General features: G+C 43.8%; 1 protein-coding gene and 1 pseudogene across 2 annotated transcripts in view; one reads left to right on the top strand and one right to left on the bottom strand.

The window, feature by feature from the left end:
* The window catches only part of SLC36A2 (solute carrier family 36 member 2), a 32,588-nt gene continuing 21,482 nt past the window's right edge, over window positions 10,950-22,055 (bottom strand). Inside the window, exons 8-10 of one of the 2 annotated variants that reach the window (NM_181776.3) lie at window positions 21,264-21,430; window positions 18,024-18,193; window positions 10,950-13,066 (exon numbers count right to left, since the gene is read on the bottom strand). In NM_181776.3, coding sequence (NP_861441.2) covers window positions 12,795-13,066; window positions 18,024-18,193; window positions 21,264-21,430 — 609 coding nt within the window. In that variant the 3' untranslated portion in view covers window positions 10,950-12,794. Of the gene's footprint in view, window positions 13,067-14,810; window positions 15,093-18,023; window positions 18,194-21,263; window positions 21,431-22,055 lie in introns of those variants that run through there. The other variant, XM_005268377.5, reaches the window with a different exon arrangement.
* On the top strand, window positions 15,403-15,756 carry ATP6V1G1P5 (ATPase H+ transporting V1 subunit G1 pseudogene 5; annotated as a pseudogene).

Below are 22,055 nucleotides of genomic sequence, written 5' to 3' on the forward strand. Positions count from 1 at the left end.
ATTTGTTCAGAAAATATTTATTGAGCATCTAATATATGCTAGAAACTGTTCTCCATGCTGGGAATATATTAGGGTAGAAAACTTACTACAATCTCTGTTCTCATGGAATTTACAATCTGGAGGGGCTGGGGGAGACAGACAATAAACGAAACAAATATATCAAGTATCTGTTAGTAAAAAGCGGTATAGAGAAAATCCAGGCAAGGGTAATGGAGAGTTTCAGCTAGGGGGAGGGTCGCAATTTTAGATTGGGTGATCAGAGAGGGCCTCACCTAGAAAGTGACATTTGGGCAAAGGGCTGAACAAGATGAGGGAACACAACTCATGTAGGTCTTGGGTAAGAAACTCCTAGCAGAGGGGCAAGAAGTGCAAAGGTCCTGAGGCAGGAGAGTGCCTGGGGTGTTTTAGGAATGGCAATGAGGTCATATGGCTATCTGGGAGCACACAGAGGAGAATGGATTCGCCTGGTTTGTGCCTATTGCCCTGGCATAATTACTAATGGTGCCTCCCTTCATTATTAAAAGTATCCTGCAGCTGAGCGAGGTGGTGCACACTTGTAGACCCAACTACTCGGGAGGCTGAAATGGGAAGATCGATTGAGGCCAGCCTGGGAAACCACCCTAAAAATGAAATAAAATAGGCCACGCTCAGTGGCTCACACCTAAAATCCCAGCAATTTGGGAGGCCGAGGTGGGCAGATCACCTGAGGTCAGGAGTTAGAGACCAGCGTGGCCAACATGGTAAAACCCCATCTCTACTAAAAATATAAACATTAGCCGAGCTTGGTAGCATGTACCTATAGTTCCAGCTACTTGGGAGGCTGAGGCAGGAGAATCACTTGAACCTGGGAGGTGGAGGTTGCAGTGAGCGGAGATCGCACCATTGCACTCCAGCCTGGGTGACAAGAACAAAATTCCATCTCAAAAAAAAAATAAAATAAAATAAAAAGAGATATCCTGGTTTGGATGATAATTACATGGTCACACCAGAGATGTGGTTAAAGAGGTAATGAAAGCGGGATGGAGTGGGTGGGCAGGATCTTGTAGGCTATTGTAACAACTTTGGATTTTACTTTAAGAGAGATGAGAAATCATGGAGGGTTCTGAGCAGAGAAATGACATGACTTAAACATTTTGACAGGATGTCTCTGGCCATTTTTTTTTTTTTTTTTGCGAGCAGATTGAAGGGGTGCAAGGGATATCAATTAGGAGGCTATTACAATAATCCAGGAGGGTGTTGCAGTGACCCAGGTGTCGGTCTGTAGTGGCTTAAACCAGGGTGGTAGTGAAAGAGATGGTGAAAAGTGACTGAATTCTGGATACTTTTAAAGATAAAGCCAAGAGGATCTGCTGATGAACTTGAGGTGGGGTATAAAAGAGAGAGGAATCAAGGAAGACTCCAATATTTTTGATATGAGTAACAGAAAGAATGGGACTGGCATTAACAAAATCGCGTCCTGAAGCTGCTTTTGCAGAGCAAGCACCAGCACTGGACTTTGATTGCACGTTTGTTTGGGATGACTGCACAGATTGCTTATGAAGCTCATGGGGGCCAAGGTACTCCCCACACCACCTCTTTGTGCTGCTGTAAAATCAGCACTGGGAGCTTCTCTCTTCCTCTGAATATCAGATGAAATATCTCTCTCTTCTGATGCCCAAAAGACTTTTTCTCAAGTTGAAAATAATTTCCCCTCCCCTGTTGCACTTATGCATTTATTATTTTATTTTATTTTTATTTTTTGAGACAGGGTCTCACTGTCACCCAGGCTGAAGTGCAGTGGCATAATCACAGTTCACTGTGACCTCCTCCTCCCAGCCTCAAGCAATCCTCCAACCTCAGCCTCCTGAGTAGTTGGGACTACAGGCATTCACCATCATGCCCAGCTAATTTTTGTATTTCTTGTAGATATGGGGTTTTGTGGCCGGGTGCAGTGGCTCATGCCTGTAATCCCAGCACTTTGGGAGGCCAAGGTGGGCAGATCACCTGAGGTCAGGAGTTAGAGACCAGCCTGGCCAACATGGTGAAACCCCATCTCTACTAAAAATACAAAAAATTAGCCAGGCATGGTGGCATGTGCCTGTAATCCCAGCAAATCAGGAGGCTGAGGCAGGAGAATCGCTTGAACCCAGGAGGCGGAGGTTGCAGTGAGCCGAGGTCACGCCATTGCACTCCGGCGTGGATGACAGAGCAAGACTCCGTCTCGAGAAAAAAATTTAAAAAAAAACCAAAACAGATGGGGTTTTGCCATGTCATTTATTCGTTGTTTTAATACTTACCTAACCCATGCCTATTCTATATAAGGTGCTGCAGATTTAACAATAAATAGGATGGACCATGGTTCCATTTTCAAGGAGTGTGTCTTTCCCTTAGTAGGAAGACAAACAGTAAACAAGTAAACAAGACAGTGATCAATTATAATAAACGTTATGCTTGTTTTAAAACAAGGCAAAGCCAAACTCGCAACTACAAAACAGAGACCGTGGAAATCACCATCACCCAGAGCAAGCACACAAAAGGATGTTGGCTTGTAATTTCCTTTTCTTTTCTTTTCTTTTTTTTTTAAATGTATCTTTGTTTGGTTTTGGTATCGGGGTAATACTGAACTTCTATAATAGTCAATGAGTTTGGAAGTAGTCCCTCCTCTTCTGTTTTTTGGAATAGTTTGAGTAGGATTGGTATTAGTTCTTCTTTAAATGTTTAGTAGAATTCAGCAGTTAAGCCATAGGGTCCAAGGCTTTCCTTTACCTGGAGACTTTTTATTATTGCTTTGATCTCATTACTTGTTATTGGTCTCTTCAGGTTTTGGATTTCTTCCTGGTTCAATCTTGGTAGATTGTATGTGTCTAGGAATTTGTCCATTTCTTGTAGATTTTCCAATTTATTGGCATATAGTTGCTCATAGCAGCCATTAATGATCCTTTGTATTTCTGCAGTATCAGTTGTAATGCCTCTTTTTTCATTTCTGATTTTATTTACTTGGATCTTCTCTCTATTTTCTTAGTCTGACTATTGGTTTGTCAATTTCGTTTAACTTTTCAAAAAAACCAACATTTTGTTTTATCAATCTTTTATATTGTTTTTTCATTTCAATTTCATTTATTTCTGCTCTGATCTTTATTATTTCTTTTTTTCTACTAATTTTGGGTTTGGTTTACTCTTGCTTTTCTAGTTCTTTAAGCTGCATTTTGTTTGTTTGTTTTTTGAAATGGAGTCTTGCTCTGTTGCCCTGGCTGGAGTGCAGTGGCACAATCTTGGCTCACTGCAACCTCCACCTCCTGGGTTCAAGTGATCTCGTGCCTCAGCTTCCCGAGTAACTGGGATTACAGGCACCCACCACCATACCCAGCTAATTTTTTTGTATTTTTACTAGAGATGGGGTTTCACCATGTTGGCCAGGCTGGTTTTGAACTCCTGACCTCAAGTGATCCACCCACCTTGGCCTCCCAAAGTGCTGGGATTACAGACGTGAGCCACCGTTCCCAGCTGGATGCATCATTAGATTGTTTATTTGAAGTTTCCCCTATTTTGATGTAGGCACTTATAGCTATAAACTTCCCTTTTAGTACTGCTTTTGCTGTATCCCATAGATTGTGGTATGTTGTGTTACCATATCATTTGTCTCAAGGATTTTTAAATTTTCTTCTTAATTTCTTCACTGACCCACTGGTCATTAAGGAGCATACTGTTCAAGTTCCATGTGTTTGTATAGTTTCCAAACTTCCTCTTGTTGTTGATTTCAAGTTTTATTCCATTGTGGTCAGAGAGGCTGCTTGGTATTATTTCAGTTTTTTGTAATGTTTTAAGACTTGTTTTGTGACCTAACATATGGTCTATCCTTGAAAATGATCCATGTGCTGAGGAAAAGGATGTGTATTCTAAAGCCACTGGATGACATATTCCATAAATATCTGTTAGATCTACTTGGTCTATAGCACAGATTAAGTCCTATGTTTCTTTGTTAATTTTCTGTCTGGAAGATCTGTCCAATGCAGAAAGTTGGGTGTTGAAGTCTCTAACTATTGGTATCTATTTCTCTCTTTAGCTCTAATAATATTGGCTTTATATCTGGGTGCTCCAGTGTTTGCTGCACATATAATTGCAACTGTTATATCCTCTTGCTGAACTGACTTTTTGATCATTATATAGTGACCTCCTTTGTCTCTTCTTATAGTTTTTGTGTTAAAATCTATTTTGTCTGATATAAGTATAGCTACTCCTGCTTTTTTTTGATTTCCATTGGCATGGAATATATTTTTTCATCCCTTTATTTTCAGCCTATGTATGCTTTTATAGGTGAAGTCATTTTCTTATAGGCAACGGATCAGTGGGTCTTGTTTTTTATTCATTCAGCCAGTTTATGTCTTTTGATTGGAGAGTTTAGTCCGTTTACATTCAATGTTATTATTGATAAGTAAGGATTTACTCTTGCCATTTTGTTACTTGTTTTCTGGTTGTGGTTTTCTCTTCCTTCTTTTTTTTTCTTGTCTTCCTTTAGTGAAAGTGATTTTTATCTTTTGATATGCTTTAGTTTCTTGCTTTTGTGTGTGTGTGTGTGTGTCCATTGTATGTTTTTTGGTTTGAGGTTACCATGAGGCTTGCAAATACTATCTTATAACCCATTATTTTAACCTGATAACAGATGAACACTGCATAAACAAACAAATGAACAAAAACAAAGAAAGAAAACTGACAAAAACTCTATGCCTTAACTTCATCACCCTGCTTTTTAATTTTTCATTGTTTCTGTTTATATTTTATTGTACTAAGTCTTGAAAAGTTGTTATTATTTTTGATTGGTTCATTGTTTAGTCTTTCTATTTAGGATAAAAGTAGGTCACACACCACAGTTACAGAGTTACAATAGTTTGTGTTTTTCTGTGTATTTACTATTACCAGTGAGTTCTGTACCTTCAGGTGATTACTTATTGCTCATTAATGTCCTTTTCTTTCTGATTGAGGTACTCTCTTTAGCATTTCTGGCAGTGAGAGGTGACAGCGTGCTGGCAGTCCTCACAGCCCTAGCTCGCTCTGGGCACCTCCTCTGCCTGGGCTCCCGCTTTGGCGGCACTTGAGGAGCCCTTCAGCCCACCGCTGCACTGTGGGAGCCCCTTTCTGGGCTGGCCAAGGCCAGAGCCGGCTCCCTCAGCTTGCAGGGAGGTGTGGAGGGAGAGGCGCGAGCGGGAACCGGGGCTGCGCGCGGCGCTTGCGGGCCAGCTGGAGTTCCGGGTGGGCGTGGGCTCGGGCTTGGCGGCCCCGCACTCGGAGCAGCCGGCCGGCCCTGCTGGCCCCAGGCAATGAGGGGCTTAGCACCCGGGCCAGCGGCTGCGGAGGGTGTACTGGGTCCCCCAGCAGTGCCAGCCCACCGGCGCTGCGCTCCATTTCTCACCGGGCCTTAGCTGCCTTCCCGCGGCGCAGGGTTCGGGACCTGCAGCCTGCCATGCCTGAGCCTCCCACCCGCTTCATGGGCTCCTGTGCGGCCAGAGCCTCCCCGATGAGCGCTGCCCCCTGCTCCACGGCGCCCAGTCCCATCGACCACCCAAGGGCTGAGGAGTGCGGGCCCACGGCGCAGGACTGGCAGGTAGCTCCACCTGCATCCCCGGTGTGGGATCCACTGGGTGAAGCCAGCTGGGCTCCTGAGTCTGGTGGGGACGTGGAGAACTTTTATGTCTAGCTCAGGGACTGTAAATACACCAATCGGCACTCTGTATCTAGCTCAAGGTTTGTAAACACACCAATCAGCACCCTGTGTCTAGCTCAGGGTTTGTGAGTGCACCAATCGACACTCTGTATCTAGTTACTCTGGTGGGGCCTTGGAGAGCCTTTGTGTGGACACTCTGTATCTAGCTAATCTGGTGGGGAGGTGGAGAACCTTTGTGTCTAGCTCAGGGATTGTAAACGCACCAATCAGCACCCTGTCAAAACAGACCACTCGGCTCTACCAATCAACAGGATGTGGGTGGGGCCAGATAAGATAATAAAAGCAGGCTGCCAGAGACAGCAGCAGCAATCCGCTCCGGTCCGCTTTTGCGCTGTGGTAGCCTTGTTCTTTCGCTCTTTGCACTAACTCTTGCTACTGCTCACTTTTTGGGTCCACACTGCCTTTATGAGCTGTAACACTCTCTGCGAAGGTCTGCAGCTTCATTCCTGAAGCCAGCGAGACCGCGAGCCCACCGGGAGGAACGAACAACTCCAGACGCGCTGCCTTAAGAGCTGTTAACACTCACAGCGAAGGTCTGCAGCTTCACTCCTGAGCCAGCGAGACCACGGGCCCACCGGGAGGAAGGAACAACTCCAGACGCGCTGCCTTAAGAGCTGTAACACTCACCGGGAAGGTCTGCAGCTTCACTCCTGAGCCGGCAAGACCACGAACCCACCAGAAGAAAGAAACTCCGAACACATCTGAACATCAGAAGGAACAAACTCCAGACACGCCGCCTTCAAGAACTGCAACACTCACCGCGAGGGTCCGCGGCTTCATTCTTAAAGTCAGTGAGACCAAGAACCCACCAATTCCGGACACAGTAGGACAGGTCTGGTGTTGATAAAATCCTTCAATTTTTGTTTGTCTGGGAAAGTCTTTATTTCTCGTTCATGTTTGAAGTATATTTTCACCAGATATACTATTGTAGGGTAAAAGTGTTTTCCTTCAGCACTTTAAATATGTCATGCCACTCTCTCCTTGCCTATAAGGTTTCCACTGAAAAGTCTTGCTGCCAGACATATTGGAGCTCCATGGTGTTTTTGTTTGTTTTTCTCTCTTGCTGCTTTTAGGATCCTTTATACTTGATCTTTGAGAGTTTGATTATTAAATGCCTTAAGGTAGTCTTGTTTAGGTTAAATCTGCGTGGTGTTCTATAAACTTCTTGTACTTGGATATTGATAACTTTCTCTAGGTTTAGGAAGTTCTCTATTATCCTTTTGAATGACATTTCTACCCCTATCTCTTTCTCTACTTCCTCTTTTAAGGCCAATAACTTAGATTTACCTTTTTGAGGCTATTTTCTAGATCCTGTAGGTGTGCTTCATTATTTTTTATCCCTTTTTTTTTTGGTGGTCTCTGACTATTTTCAAACAGCCTATCTTTAAGCTAACTAATTCTTCTGGTTGATTGATTCTATTGTTAAAAGACTCTGATGCATTCTTCAGTATGGCAATTGAATTTTTCAGCTCCAGAATTTCTGATTCTTTTTCATGATTTCAATATCTGTTAAATTTATCTGATGAATTCCTTCTCTATGTTATCTTGAATTTCTATGAATTTCCTCAAAACAACTATTTTCAATCCTCTGACTGAAAGTTCACATATCTCTGTATCTCCAGGATTGGTCCCTGGTGCCTTATTTAGTTCATTTGGTGAGGTCGTGTTTTCACGGATGGTGTTGATGCTAGTAAATGCTCTTCAGTTTCTGGGCATTGAAGAGTTAAGTATTTTTTGCAGTCTTCACTGTCTGGACTTGTTTGTATCCATCATTCTTGGGGAGGTTTTCCAGATATTTGAAAGGGCTTGGGTGTTGTGATCTAAGTTGTATCTGCTTCAGGGCACAACCCAAGCCCAGCAACACTGTGGTTGTTGCAGACTGACAGAGGTACCACCTTAATCATCTTGGACAAGATCTGGGAGAATTCTCTGGATTACCAGATAGAGACTCTTGTTCTCTTCCCTTACTTTCTCCCAAACAGAGTCTCTCTCTTTGTTCTGAGCCACATGAAGCTGGGGGTGGAGTGATACAAGCACCCTTGTGACCACCATCACTATGACTGCACTGGGTCAGACCTGAAGCCAGCATAGCACTGGGTCTTGCTAGAGGCCTCCTGTAACCACTCCTTGGCTACTGCGTGTGTTTGCTCAAGGCTCTGGGGCTCTATAATCAGTAAGTGGCAAGCCATTCGGGTCTGTATTTTTCCCTTTAATGTGGAGAGTTCCCCCAGGCTGTATGCAGGTCCAGAGGTGCCATCTGTCTTGACAGCCAGGGACTAGAATCAAAAACCTAAGAAGTCTACCTGGTGCCGTATTGTACTGTGGCTGAGCTGGCACTCGAACCACAAGACACAGTCCTTTTCACTCTTCCCTCCCCTTTCCAAAGGTAGGGCAGCCTCACCCTATGGCCACTGCCACCTCAGGCCCACAGGGAGTAATGCTAGACTACTGCCAATGTTCCCTTAAGTCCTGAGGGCTCTTCAGTCAGCTTTTGGTGCATGCTGCCTGGCCTGGGACTCACCCTTCAAGGCAGTGGGCTACCCTCTGGCCCAGGACAGGTCCAGAAATGCCATCCAAGAGCCAAGTCCTGGAATTGGGGACCCCAAGAGCCTACTTGGTGCTCTACCCCTGTGGCTGAGCTGGTAACTAAAGTCAGCAGGTCTCAGAGTCTCACCCAAGGCCCTTGATGTAGTATCTGGGTATCACTGGTGTTTATTCAGGGCCCAAGGGCTCTTCAGTGAGCAGGTGATGAATGCTGCCAGGACTGGGTCCTTTCCTTCAAGACAGTGGGTTCCCTTCTGGCCCAGGGTATGTCTAGAAATGCCCAGAAGCTAAGGTCTGGAAAGGCAGCATCATGACTCTGACCCATGCCCTATTCTTCTGTGGCTGAGTTGGTATCTAAGATGTAAGATAAAGTCCTCCCCACTATTCCTTCTCCTCACCTCAAGCAAAAGGAAGGGGTCTATTCTGGAGCCACAAGCTGTGCTTCTTGGGGTTAGGAAAGGGGTGATGCCAAGCACTCCCTTAGTCACCCCAACTGGTGTCTCAGTATGTCTCCTGCTCCCCCAGTCCACTGTCTCTGGGTCCAATTCAGTACTAGGAGTCTCCTAGGAGTTGTAGTCCTTGTGGCCTAGACTGCCTTTCAAGTTTATTTAAAGCCCCAGAGCACTTTAGCCCATGGTGGTGAGGCCTGTGGGAACTAGAGTTCTGATCTCTGGGATCAGTGATTCCCCTCTGGCTAGGGCTGGTTTAAATGCTCCCTCTGTGGGCGGGTGTCAGCTGAGTTTGGTCTGGTTTTCCTTTCTGCTATAACAAGGGCAGCACCTAGTCAATGCATCACAATTACTGGGTTCTCCCTTCCCCAGAGCCCAGAGATACTCTGGGCACCATGGGCCCCTGCTGGGGGTGGGGGAGGGGTGGCGCTGCGCAGTTGATTCAAGACTGTTTTTTCTTTTACCTCTTTAGTGCCTCTTTCAGCCATACGAAGTTAAAACCAGGTACTGTGAGTGCCCACGTTTTTTGGTTCTTATGAAGGTGTACATAATTGTTAAATTGGTGTCCTTGCAGCAGGGGTTGGGGGACAGGACAGATCAGTGGAGCTTTCTACCATCTTGCTCTACCTCCTCCCTATTTTACATTTTGATAACCACCATTCAGTGGCCTCCCTTGGGCCCTACAATGCAGTGAGGAGCTTTGATGCACAAATGTTTGCATCCTGGATCCATCCTTCACTACGTGTTTGATCTTTAACAAGTTATTTAATGTCTCTGAGTCTGTTTCCTTATCTGAAAATGGAGACAATGACAGTGTAAACATCACAGGTCATTGTAAGGATTAAATGAGATGATCTCATGTAAAATCCTTAGTAAGCACTCAATGAAGGAAAGGAGGAAGGGTTTTCTATGTTCCTTGACTCACTAGCAAGTTCCAGAAGTTAAATAAATAGTAAGTTAAATGGGGGGAAGAAAGTCGTGTGTATGCATATGTGTGTACTAAAAAAATCAGTTCCAAACCACTTAAGAAATTTTAATATCACCACCACTCAGACATAAAGCTAACATGTAGTAGTCTTTAGTGTTGCCAATGATTACTAATGAGTCTCCCTAGCTTAGTTTTGTTGGTTATATCAATGTTGCTAAATTTAGTTTTTCTTTCCAAGGTTTAACTTCAGCCAGATTTGTCTGAGTAATAAAATTAACCCTATCCTCTTACACAGTAGGGGCTTATCTTTAGAGAATGAGTGTAAACTTTTCTTAATAACAGAGAAGATAACTTTAAACTTCAAGGATGGGTGCGGTGATTGATAGTGGAGCAGGGTGGGAGAGAAATGTTTCCAGAGAGGATGATCACATTGCCAACACTCAGGATGGATCATTGGAAGTCCTTTGGGTTTGCTGATGAAACAGAGAGCTCAGGGTGGAAATGACAACCCATTCTCTGGCAAAGTGGACTGTGGACCCCTGCACGAGCTATGAGTGTCCTGTTGCCCAACAGGGACTCTGTAGGCTATGGGATCTGGGTGTGGACCACCAGCCTTTCCTCCATCTGAGTGGACTTGTGCTGGTGAAGTATCTTCTGGAAGTCCAGCAGATAGAAAGTAACATACAGAAAGAGCAGACCGGGACGTGGGAATTGGGGGGCACAGGGAAGACGAAGGATGAAAATAAGCAGGACAGGGCTTTTTCAAATGTTCTCTTAACACCGAGGCTGAAACAGGCATAGCTCATTCCCGTAAACCACGGAGAGTTTGATGAGAAACTCTCCTCTCCCCACCTTTTGGGACTATAGATCTTCAACATCTATTTATTTATCTAGGTGCGTTTTCTCAATTTTAGTAATTCTGAGGGGAGGGGAGAGAGCAGTCACCACCAGAAGGATGGAGGTGATGTCTCAGGTTGGCTTGCCTCTGGCTGCCAGCCAAGATCAGACACAAGCATAGGTGCTGTAATGTCCAGGCAGCAGGACAGAATGGAAGAAGGTTCAGGCTCAGTCGTAGAAGATTCAGGTTCTACTCAAAGCCCAGCTCAAATGATACCACCTGTGGAAAGTCTTCTTTGGTGCTCTAGAGCAGGTAGTGTCCTTTGCCCTTAGATGGACATTAGATGGTATTTACTTAGTTGATTACCTGTTAACTCTTCCCCAATGGACAGCAGACTGGCTGCTTGAGAGCAGGGATTCTTTTCTCATTAATCAGTGTATCCTCTTTAGAATGATTTATCAGTTATCTTTTGCTGCATAAAACTTCCCACTCTTTATGTATTAAAATTACAAACATCTTTATTATTTATCACAGTTCTGTGGATTATCTGTACAATTCTTATGGTCTGTGTCAGCCTGACTGGGGTTGGATATAGTCTAGGATGGCTTTACTCGTGTCTGGAAGTTGGTAGGCTGGTTGATCTGCGGACAGGGCTCAACTGGGATGATTCATTTATGTTCCACATGGTCTCTGATCCTCCGGTAGGCTAGCCCAGGATGCTTTACTTGGTGGTCTCAACTCCATAGAGCAGCAAGTGATGTAAGTCCTGATGCATAGGTTATTACCAAACCTCTGACTGCATCACATTTACTAATGTCCCATTGGCCAAAGCAAGTTACAAGGCCAAGATCAAATTTAAAGGGGAGAGGCTGGGCGTGGTGGCTCACACTTGTAATCTCAGCACTTTGGGAGGCCGAGGCAAGTGGATCACCTGAGGTCAGGAGTTTGAGACCAGCCTGGCCAACATGGTAAAACCCCATCTCTACGAAAAACAAAAATTAGCCAGGCATAGTGGCAGGCACTTGTAATCCTAGCTACTTGGGAGGCTGAGGCAGAAGAATCGCTTGAACCCAGGAGGTGGAGGTTGCAGTGAGCCGAGATTGTGCCATTGCACTCCAGCCTGGGCAACAGAGCGAGACTTCATCTCAAAAAAACAAAACACAAAACAAAACCGACAAACAAGCAAAAAAATTTAAGGGATACAGATACAGACTTCATCTTTTCATAGGAGCAGGTGCAAAGTCACATTATCACGAGGAATTTATGGTCATTTTTGCAATATTCTACAAAATCTTGTTTGGCACACAGTAGGTAATCAAGAATGCATGTTGCAAGAATTAAGAGGTAAAGTCTATTCAAATAATATTCATGTTCACTCCTCATCCCTCCCCATTGGCACATCTACTTCCATGCCTCCTATTCATTGTTGGGATCTTTGAGTTGGGAGAAAATGTTATCTAATCGTTTGAAATGTTTGTTGCCCCTCATTTAATATGCATGGCTCCTTTCTATCTGAGAGTTTTCACACTGGTCATCTTGGCCCTACCCATCTCAACACTGGAGCCGTGCACAACTTTCTGGCTTGTGGATTATGTGCCCACCCTTAATGTTTGCTTTTTGAACAGACCCAGAAAAGGGAAAACCGGTTGTCTGCCAAAGTGTGGACAGTCTTAGCTGGCTGCATCTCCTTTGGCCAGTTGCTGCCACTTGGGGCCCTCTGGTGGCTGCTTCTTGCATAGCTCCACGCTAGGTATGAAATTCATTGTGTGAATTATCATAAGCTTGGATAGAGTCCAGAGCCTTCCAAGGGAAAGCTCACAATGTAGTGGAATGCCAGAGGTATGAAAAGAAGAAGTAATAAACAAAACAAAAATGTAAAAAATTACCATTTAGAGCTTGTAGCTTTCTTGTTTCACCATGACTTGGCCCAGAGAAAAGGCAAAGCAGTGACATAAAGATAATGCATATAAAAGAGATCTGGCCAGGCGAGGTGGCTCACGCCTGTGATCCCAGCATTTTGGGAGGCCGGGGTGGGTGGATCACCTGAGGTCGGGAGTTCAAGACCAGCCTGACCAACATGGAGAAACCCCGTCTCTACTAAAAATACAAAATTAGCCAGGCGTGCTGGACTATGCCTCTAATCCCAACTACTCGGGAGGCTGAGGCAGGAGAATCGCTTGAACCCAGGAGGCCGAAGTTGTGGTGAGCTGAGATCGCATCATTGTACTCCAGTCTGGGCAACAAGACAGAAACTCCGTCTCAAAAAAAAAAAAAAAAAAAAAAAGAGATCCATATAATTAAAAGTCGGGTGCTGGTAGGCAAGGAGCAGTGCCAGGCTCACCGAACAAAAGTGGTGGAGTTGGAAAAGGGGTGAGAGTCTTCTGACTTGAGCAGCTCGTCCAGGGCCTGGTAGGTCCCCACCACAAAGCCCACGAAGCCCAGGATGCTGATCAGGGCGTCCTTGAAGATGGTGAGGGGGCTCATGCCCTCTGAGTAGAACGTGGTGACCTCCAGGAGCGGTGGGATGATGAGGGCCAGGGCGGTGCCACTCACGGAGCCCACCAGGGAGATGACCAGGTCCAGGCGGGGGATGAGGATGGCCAGGAGGCCTGCAGGGAGAGGATAGTGGAGAGATGGAGCATTCCAGGCTTAGCCAAGCTTTGAAAGTTTGTTCTTAAAGTCCTCTTCTTGGCCAGGCACAGTGGCTCACACTTGTAATCCCAGCACTTTGGGAGGCCTAGATGGGTGGATCACTGAAGGTTGGGAGTTCAAGACCAGCCTGTCCAACATAGTGAAATCCCATCTCTACTAAAAATACAAAAATCAGCCGGGTGTGGTAGTGGGTGCCTATAATCTCAGCTACTCAGGAGGCTGAGGCAGGAGAATCACTTGAACCTGGGAGGTGGAGGTTGCAGTGAGCCAAGATCACGCCACTGCACTCCAGCCTGGGTGACAAAGTGAGGTCCTATCTCATTAAAAAAAAAAAAAAAATCCTCTTCTTAAAAAATGAACTAATTGTTTCTCAGAAATTCAATTACAGAAAGAAAAGTTAAAAGTCCTCCAATATCCCTAATCATATTCCCTAGAAGTTACATATTAAAAATTCAGCCAGGCATAGTGGCACATTTCTGTAGCCCCAGCTATTCGGGAGGCTGAGGCAGGAGGATCCAGGAGTTCAAGGACACCCTGGGTAACATAGTGAGACCCCATCTCAAAACAACAATAACAAAATTTGGTGAGTCTCTGTCTAATTGTATTCATTCATATTGTTCATTCATATTGTTGGGAGGAAATGTATTCATTCAAAAACTTTTCCCCTACCAACTTAGGGTCAGTGGTTGGGTGCTTGTGAATTCAACTGACAATAGGTAAGATTAACAAGAGAAAAGACAAAGTGTATATATAAGCTCCAGAGCCTTGAGAAGAATTGGCTTCCAGAACAGCCAAAGATACCCCCTTAATAAGGGGAAAAGGAGGGAGGAGAAAGGGCTTTTATGGAAGAACAAATGGAAGATATGACAGTTTCAGATAAAATTTGTTAAACAGTTAGTAATTCCCATGATAATGCTAAGTCTCTTTTCTGGCTCTAAACTTCCCAGAGAAGGGATTTATGGCAGCTATATTTGTCAGGAGGTCCCGCTTACATCAGCAAAAGAAGATTAGACAAAGTTTCTTTCTGCAGCTTCTTTTTGTTCAGGCATTTTTAGCTTAAAATAATCTTTATGCTACCGAGGTGCATTTTGGATCCTTACATATCCAACAAAACTTAAGCTCTTACTTAATAAATAACACTAAATAACAGTGCTGGGAACCATTCAAGCTGTTTGGAATATATCAATGTACAAACTGTCAATGTTTGTACTATCAAAATTTGTATCAATGTACAAATTTTTTAGAAGTCTTCTAAAATGCCTAGCATTTTAATAAATAAAAAATAATATAAATAATATAAATAAATAATACAAATTTATTATTTATTTTATATATAAATAAAATATATTTTATATATTTTATCTATAATAAAAATAAATAATAAATAAAAATATAATAATTATTTATAAATATTTATTTATAAAATATATTTTTATATATAATAAATATTTTATATATATAAAAATATAATAAATATAAATAATATAAATAAATAAATTATTTTTTAAAATGCCTAGAATTTTAATAAATAATTAACATGAGTATAAGAACCTTTTACTTGCAAACAATTAGAATATGAAATTATTTATAATACAAAGAGATCTTCAGTTGGAAGAAAATCCGGGAGGTGTCTTTAAAGAAGTGTCTTCTCCAGGTTTTATACACATGTCAGAAAACCCCTAACAAAGAAACACGAAAAGCTAAAAATTTTGAAATTATATTTTTTTAGCAGGACGTTTTACAGACCTGGGCTTTTACATTTTTTATTATATTTGATGAAAAATGTTCCTGGTCACCAATAAATCCCAGGAGCCTTGAGCAGGCCTCCTTTGGAGGAGTGTGGTAGAACAGAACAGGTCTGGAAGGCAGGAGTCTGGTTCATTCTTGTATGGCCTTGCCCAAGTCCCACCCCTTCCTCAGCTTGTTTCCTCAGCTGCAAAATGGAGATGAAGGCTACTATCCTTTTAGGTATTGTGATTCATTCTGCATAGGACATAAAAGTCTTCAATGAGATTTTTCATGTAAAGCATTCAGAAAAGTTATCTTTGCTATTACTCCAAGTTATTTACTCATACATGCTAATTGACAATGCATGAAGAAGTGTAGTGTAGGCTTAAGGGATTGTTATCTTTATACTGTGGGGCAAATTCCTTGATCTGTCTGGAATATGTAAGATACTGGATAGTTCCTGCATTCAAGGTCAAATTGAGAACTAATCACTTCAAAAAAAGAAAATCAGTGTCGAATGAATGCTGTGGGCTGGCCTAGAAAAGTGAAAATCAACAGCCACTTCAGCCAGTCTCAGGGGATCCAGCAGCTGCTGCAGGCCAAGATGCAGCCACTGAGAAGGTGTCCAAGTGTGAGCAAAAACATAGAGGCTGAAGCAGGCCAAGGAAGCAGCTGAGGCTTCAACTGCTGAACTGAAACTGAACAGCACTGCCTGCAGAGGGAGAAAGAGTTCAAGACCAAGGAAGCTGCAGCCCTGGAATCTCACAGCAGCCTTGGCACTGAAGTGGCACAGGAGGGTCAGAAGAAGAGGACCAGCCTCCAGAACTACTTCCAGCAGAATGGGGGTGAAGGCTTGGCTAGTCTCTTGGCTTTTGTCTGTGACACCTGGACAGAAATCCATGAAAACTGCTGCATAAATGAAGAAGAGTGGGAGAAAGAAGCGCCTGTACCACAGATTGGCATTTTAGATGCCCTCGAGGAATATGCAGCTTGAGATATATTCTTATGAAAAGGCATTAAATGATTTCTGTATATTATATAGCAGGTCCCTTCACATCTCAGAGAATATAAAATCTAGCTTCTTTGTACAGACTTAGAACTTATCTATAGATTTTCTTTTTACATCGTATTTCGTAGAAATTTAATGGGTATATGTCATGTTTTCCCATGCCTATTAGCTGAAGTAACATATGTATCAGTGTATCAATGTTGACTTTTTCTTTCTTTTTTCTAGTAAAAAAAAGTTCTTTGAAGAAGAAAGAGATTAATATTTTTTTTTTCCCTGTAGTGCTTTCTTGAATGTCAGGATTCTAACCATGAAAAAGTAGTAAATGGTTATTTGTAATCTGTGTGAAGCAGCAGCCACCCTTAAATTAGTCCATTCCTGCTAATGGTTAGAATAATGAATACTAGCATAACTGTTTGGGCTGCTTTTAGTTTCTCTGAATCAAAATTACTAGATGGTAGAATTCAAAAACTCGTTACATGTTATTACTCGGTGTACTGATAATTATCTAAAAGTAACACTTTGTTATGCAAAAAAAAAAGAATTTCCTAAATTTCCATGGACAGATGAATGGATAAAGAAAATGTGGTTTCTACGTACAGTGGAATACAATTTGGCCTTAAAAAGAAGACACTTTTGCAATTACAATCAAAAGGCATCTTAGGGACAGCTGGGCCACCTCTACTCTACACAGGAATCTCTAGCCATCTCCTTCGGCCTCTGGTGGAATACTTGCAGAAAGGGGTACTCCGGGTCATGGGGGCTGCTGTGAGCCAGGGAGTGGGAATGACCTCAGCCAATAGGCAAGCACAGGACCGTCCAGGGGTCAAGGAGCCCCAGCTGATTGTTGCCGATGGGGAATGTGATCCCAGCCTTGCCCAATCATTTTATAGTAGCCCCACCAAAAAATTTTAAAAATCTGCATTTGTATGGAGATTGCCCACATTTTAAATGTTGGCCCACTTTATACAACATTGTGAGGTTCAAACAACACCTGTTGCCAAATTAGAGTCCCATTTTCAATGTCTGCCCTGGAGGTGAAGGGCACTGGCTCTAGACTTACATGACTTGAATTCAAATCCTACCTCTGACACTTTCTGGCCAATTATTAATCACTCACTGCCTCAGTTTTCTCTTTCATAAAGTAGGGTTTATCATAGTTCTACCTCATGATAATTGTTGTGAGGACTGAATAAAATATTATGAAATCTAGACTAGAAAGAGCTGAACACAGTGCCTGGCACACAGTAAGTGTTCAATACATGTCAGTTCTTATGATTTATTTATTTATTTATTTATTTATTTATTAATATATTTGAGACAGGGTCTGACTCTGTTGCCCAGGCTGGAGTGCAATGGTTCAATCTCAGCTCACTGCAGCCTCAGCCTCCTGGGCTCAAGCAATCTTCCCACCCTAGCCTCCCAAGTAGCTGGGACTACAAACATGGGGCACCCATGCCTGGCTATTTTCTTTTCTTTCTTTTTTTTTTTTTTTTTAATAGAGATGGGGTTTCACCATGTTGTCCAGGCTGGTCTCAAAACTCCTGAACTCAAGCAATCCGCCTGCCTTGACCTCTCAAAGTGCTGGGATCACAGGCATGTGCCAGAGTGCGCAGCAAGTTCTTACAGTTATTGTTTGATAAGCTGTGTCAATCCCTTAGGCTGAACACCAACAAATCTGTCTAATTAGGTACATGTAAGAATGGGGTTGTTTAGATGAGTGAATACTTGTAAAGCTTTAAAATGGTCCCTGGAATACAGTAAGTGCTCAGTAAATGCTGATTGTCATGACTGCCCTCTACCATCTGACTGATTCTTTTTTTTTTTTTTTTGAGATGAATCTTGCTCTGTTGCCCAGGCTGGAGTGCAGTGGCACGATCTCGGCTCACTGCAACCTCTGCCCTACATGTTCAAGTGATCCTCTTGCCTTGGTTCTTGAGTAGCTGGGATTACAGGCACGTGCCACCACGCCTGGTTAATTGTTGTATTTTTAGTAGAGACAGGGTTTCACCATTTTGGCCAGGCTTGTCTGAAACTCCTGACCTCAGGTGATCCACCCGCCTCGGCCTCCCAAAGTGCCAGGATTACAGGTGTAAGCCAATGCATCCGGCCCATCTGGCTGATTCTTTATAGCCCTCAGAAAAGATCAGCAGGAACACTGCACTCTCCTTTCTACTCACATGTCAGGCAGACCATGACGAGGCGAATGGACAGATCCAGAGGCAGTGCCCAGCGTGTTGACACCCGGGAGATGGCAAAGGGGATGATGATTTCTGCAGGGACGTAGAACTGCAGGGCATAGGTGCACAGGATGCCGGCAATGTAGAGAAGCTTGACAGACTGGTACAGCCTGCAAGACAAACCACAGAGCTGCTCTCCACGGCCACTGTGTTCTGACACTGGCCTCCTTGGAACATTAACCTCTGACCTTGGGACAATGACTTGGGCTTTTGTTTCCCTTTCTGAAAATGACTGAGAGGGACCTTCTAAGAATCAAGAGGGAGTCACAGCAGAGCATGCAGTGAAAATAGTGCGGTTCTGGATTCAGTGGAAACAATGGAAAGGGTCATTTCTAAATGAAATAAAAACCATCTTGAGCTTGAGTATGTATTGCACCTTCGCAAATCGCTACCATCTGATGCTCAATCTTATGTTTTAAAAAAGAGAGGCTCAGGCTCAGGCCAGATACTTTGCCCAGGGAGACACAGATGATAAGTGGCTAAGACCAAAAGCCCTGGATCTAAAAGACTCTAGTCCTTTGTGATCAGTCCTTAGGAATTATCTGGATTCCCCAAAGCTCTAGGCACATAACTGTTGCCTCTAGTTGAGAGAACTGCAGAATCCCAAATCCTTGGAAGAAGAGACAGTTTATAAATAGGGTTGTGTGGAAGTTAGGGGGAGTCAGGGTGGAATATAAGGAGAAACAGGGGTACTTGCCAGCCTCAAGCTAGGGGCAGAGTGTGTGTGAGGCTTCAAGGGATATTGAGTTCTATCTAAGTTTTTTTTCTATTTGATCTATTGAGATGTGACTGTTTTCCTTCAGTCCACTAATGCAGTAGATGCATTTCCATGTTTAATAAATGTGTGATGCTGGGCACAGTGGCTCACGCCTATAATCCCAGCACTTTGGGAGGCCGAGGGCGGTGGATCACCTGAGGTCACGAATTTGAGACCAGTCTGGCCAACATGGCGAAACCCTACCACTACCAAAAATAAAAAATTACCCACGTGTGGTGGTGCACACCTGTAATCCCAGCTACTTGGGAGGCTGAGGCAGGAGAATTACTTGAACCCGGGAGGTAGAGGTTGCAGTGAGCTGAGATCGCACCACTGCACTCTAGCCTGGGCGACAGAGTGAGACCCTGTCTCAAAAATAAATAGATAGATAGATAAATAAATAAATAAATAAATAAATAAATAAATGGGTGTGTGTGTGTTTAGCCCATTCCTTAAAAAGGCTAACTTCCACATTTCTGTGTTTCTTGCTCACACTAGTCCTGCTGCCTGGGCACCCTCTTTACTCCATTTCCATCTGTTCAAACCCCTCCAAGTTTTTGAAATTCCCCTGTTCTGAGCAGGTACCACAGCCAGATCCTTGTAGACACAGCTCAACTTAATCCTCATGACAACTCCAGTTTATAAATGAGGCAACTGAGGTTCAGAGAGTTGAAGTAAATCATCTACAACCACAAGCTAGTAGGCAGTCCAACTGGGACCTGGACTCAGGTGTACCAGAGTGGTCCATGTTTGGATTGAGTTGACCTGCCGGACAAGGAGTTTCCCTGTTGTCTCCTTCCGATGTGCTTTCTTTCCTTGGAAATCCCCAAGGCCTGTTTGCTACTCTGGAGAGCTTCTTTTTCTATGTTATTGTTTGTGTACATACACTATCTGTTCCTCCCCCATTCCCACCGGATCAGGAGCCGGCGAAGATAGTGAACCTCCAAGGTTATAGTCTACTCACATCAGTGCCACTTGGCATCTGCTTATAATTGGCATGCAGTAAATGCTTGATGAGTGGCATTATCATGTTGGGAAAGGAGCCACATTTAGGCAAATTAGGTCTCCAAGGGACTGTGACTGTCCGCTTGAGAAGACCGAAATGTCCTGTAATTAATGACATGACCTGGTGTGGGAGAAAATCCCGCACAGTGGGATGTGGGTTCATGCGTCTGTTCAATATGGCACTGTTGATGTCTATGGGGCTGCTAACTATTGCATGAATTGAGTATGCTAGAACATAAGACTTTTACAGATTCCAATGGTCTTCCCAAATTGTTTTGTTTGTTTGTTTGTTTGTTTGAGACAGAGTCTCTGCCGCCCAGGCTGGAGTGCTGTGGTGCTATCTTGGTTCACTGCAACCTCCACCTCCCAGGTTCAAGTGATTCTCCTGCCTCAGCCTCCTGAGTAGCTGAGACTATAGGTGTGTGCCACCATGCCTGGCTTATTTATTTATTTATTTATTTATTTATTTATTTATTTATTTTGAGATGGAGTTTCACTCTTGTTGCCCAGGCTGGAGTTCAATGGCACCATCTTGGCTCACTGAAACCTCTGCCTCCCAGGTTTAAGTGATTCTCCTGCCTCAGCCTCCCGAGTAGCTGGGATTACAGGCACCCACCACCATGCCCGGCTAATTTTGTATTATTAGTAGAGACGAGGTTTTGCCATGTTGGCCAGGCTGGTCTTGAACTCCTGACCTCAGGTGATCCACCCACCCTGGCCTCCCAAAGTGCTGGGATTACAGGCATGAGCCATCACGCCTGGCCTGTTTGTTTGTTTTTAAGAGATAGGGTCTCACTGTGTCACTCAGGCTGGAGTGGAGTGCAGTGGTGTGATGATAGCCTTCTGTAACCTCAAACTCCTGGGCTCAAGTGATCTTCCTACCTCAGCATCCCAAGCAGCTGGGACTACAGGTATGAGACATCATACTCAGCTAAGCTATGGAAATTTTTTTTGTAGAAGTGGGGTCTTACCATGTTGCCCAGGTTGGCCCAATTGGTTTTTGTTTTCCACTTTTCTATCTGGTTACTCTGACTTGGGGAATGTGAACCACTGGCTGTGGCAAACAAGACTATGGGAAGTGTGGCCACCTCCCGACTCCTCTCTCTGTCTCTTGCCATCTCCCAGTGCCCTTCCCTTCTCTCCTTAGTAGACCAAGGGCTCTCACTTGTGTCCTCTCTTCTTAAGTCATGTCCTCCTTCACACTAAGATGTCAAGGCTTAACTCAATTTGGGAGGCTGTTGTTGAAGGAGGAACTCCCAGGACAGAGAATCTGGAGACCGTGGTTCCAATGACAATTCTGCTTCTTCTGTGGGAGGCTCTCTAGACCTCAGTTTCCCAGCTGTGGAAGGGAGGAGGAAGTGACCTATACGTTTCCACCCATTCCTGAGTCCCCACCACCTGACAGCCCATGAAGATACCAGCAGTTAGGCAGGTTAAGGCTTATGCTGGCCTTGATGTCATCTCCAAACCGCAGGTAGCCCAGAGCCGCCATGCCAATGTATAGGGAAGTGACGATGGACATTCCCAAAGACAGGATGGCTGGGAAGTGGCGGGCATTCTTCATCTTGTTTTCCAGAGGCAGAACCTACAGAAACATCACAATGTAAGAAGGAGAAAGAGTAACATGAACAAAAAGAAAAATGGCATTCCACTTCTGGATGTCTACCCCAAAGAACTGAAAGCAGGGCCTCAAAGAGATATTTGTACACTTATGTTCACAGTAGTGCTATTCACATAGCCAAAAGGTGGAAGCAACCCAAGGGTCTAGCAACAGAAAATGGATACACAAAATGTGGGTGTATCCATGCAATGGAACGTTATTTAGCCCTTAAAAAAGAAGGAAGTTTTGTCTCATGCTAACCCACGGATGGATCTTGAGGACATTATTGCTGAGTGAAATAAGCCAGTCACAAAAAGACAAGGACTGCCTGATTCTACTTATATGAGGTACCTGGAGTAGGTAGGTCCAAAGAGGCAGAATGCTAGTTGGGAAGGACTGGCATGAGGAGAGTATGGGGAGTTATTGTTTAATGGGTACAGAGTTTCAGTTTTGCAAGCTGAAGAGTTCTGCAGATGAAAGAAAGCAATAATCTGAATTTACTTAATATGTATGTATACTTGAAAGTGGTTAAGATGAGTAAATTTTATGTTAGGTGTGCTTCAATTAAACAAAAAAAGGAAATAAAAGAGGAGGAAAAAAGGTAGGAAGA

Source organism: Homo sapiens, chromosome 5 (genome assembly GCF_000001405.40).
Source record: "Homo sapiens chromosome 5, GRCh38.p14 Primary Assembly".
NCBI classification, from domain to species: Eukaryota; Metazoa; Chordata; class Mammalia; order Primates; family Hominidae; genus Homo; species Homo sapiens.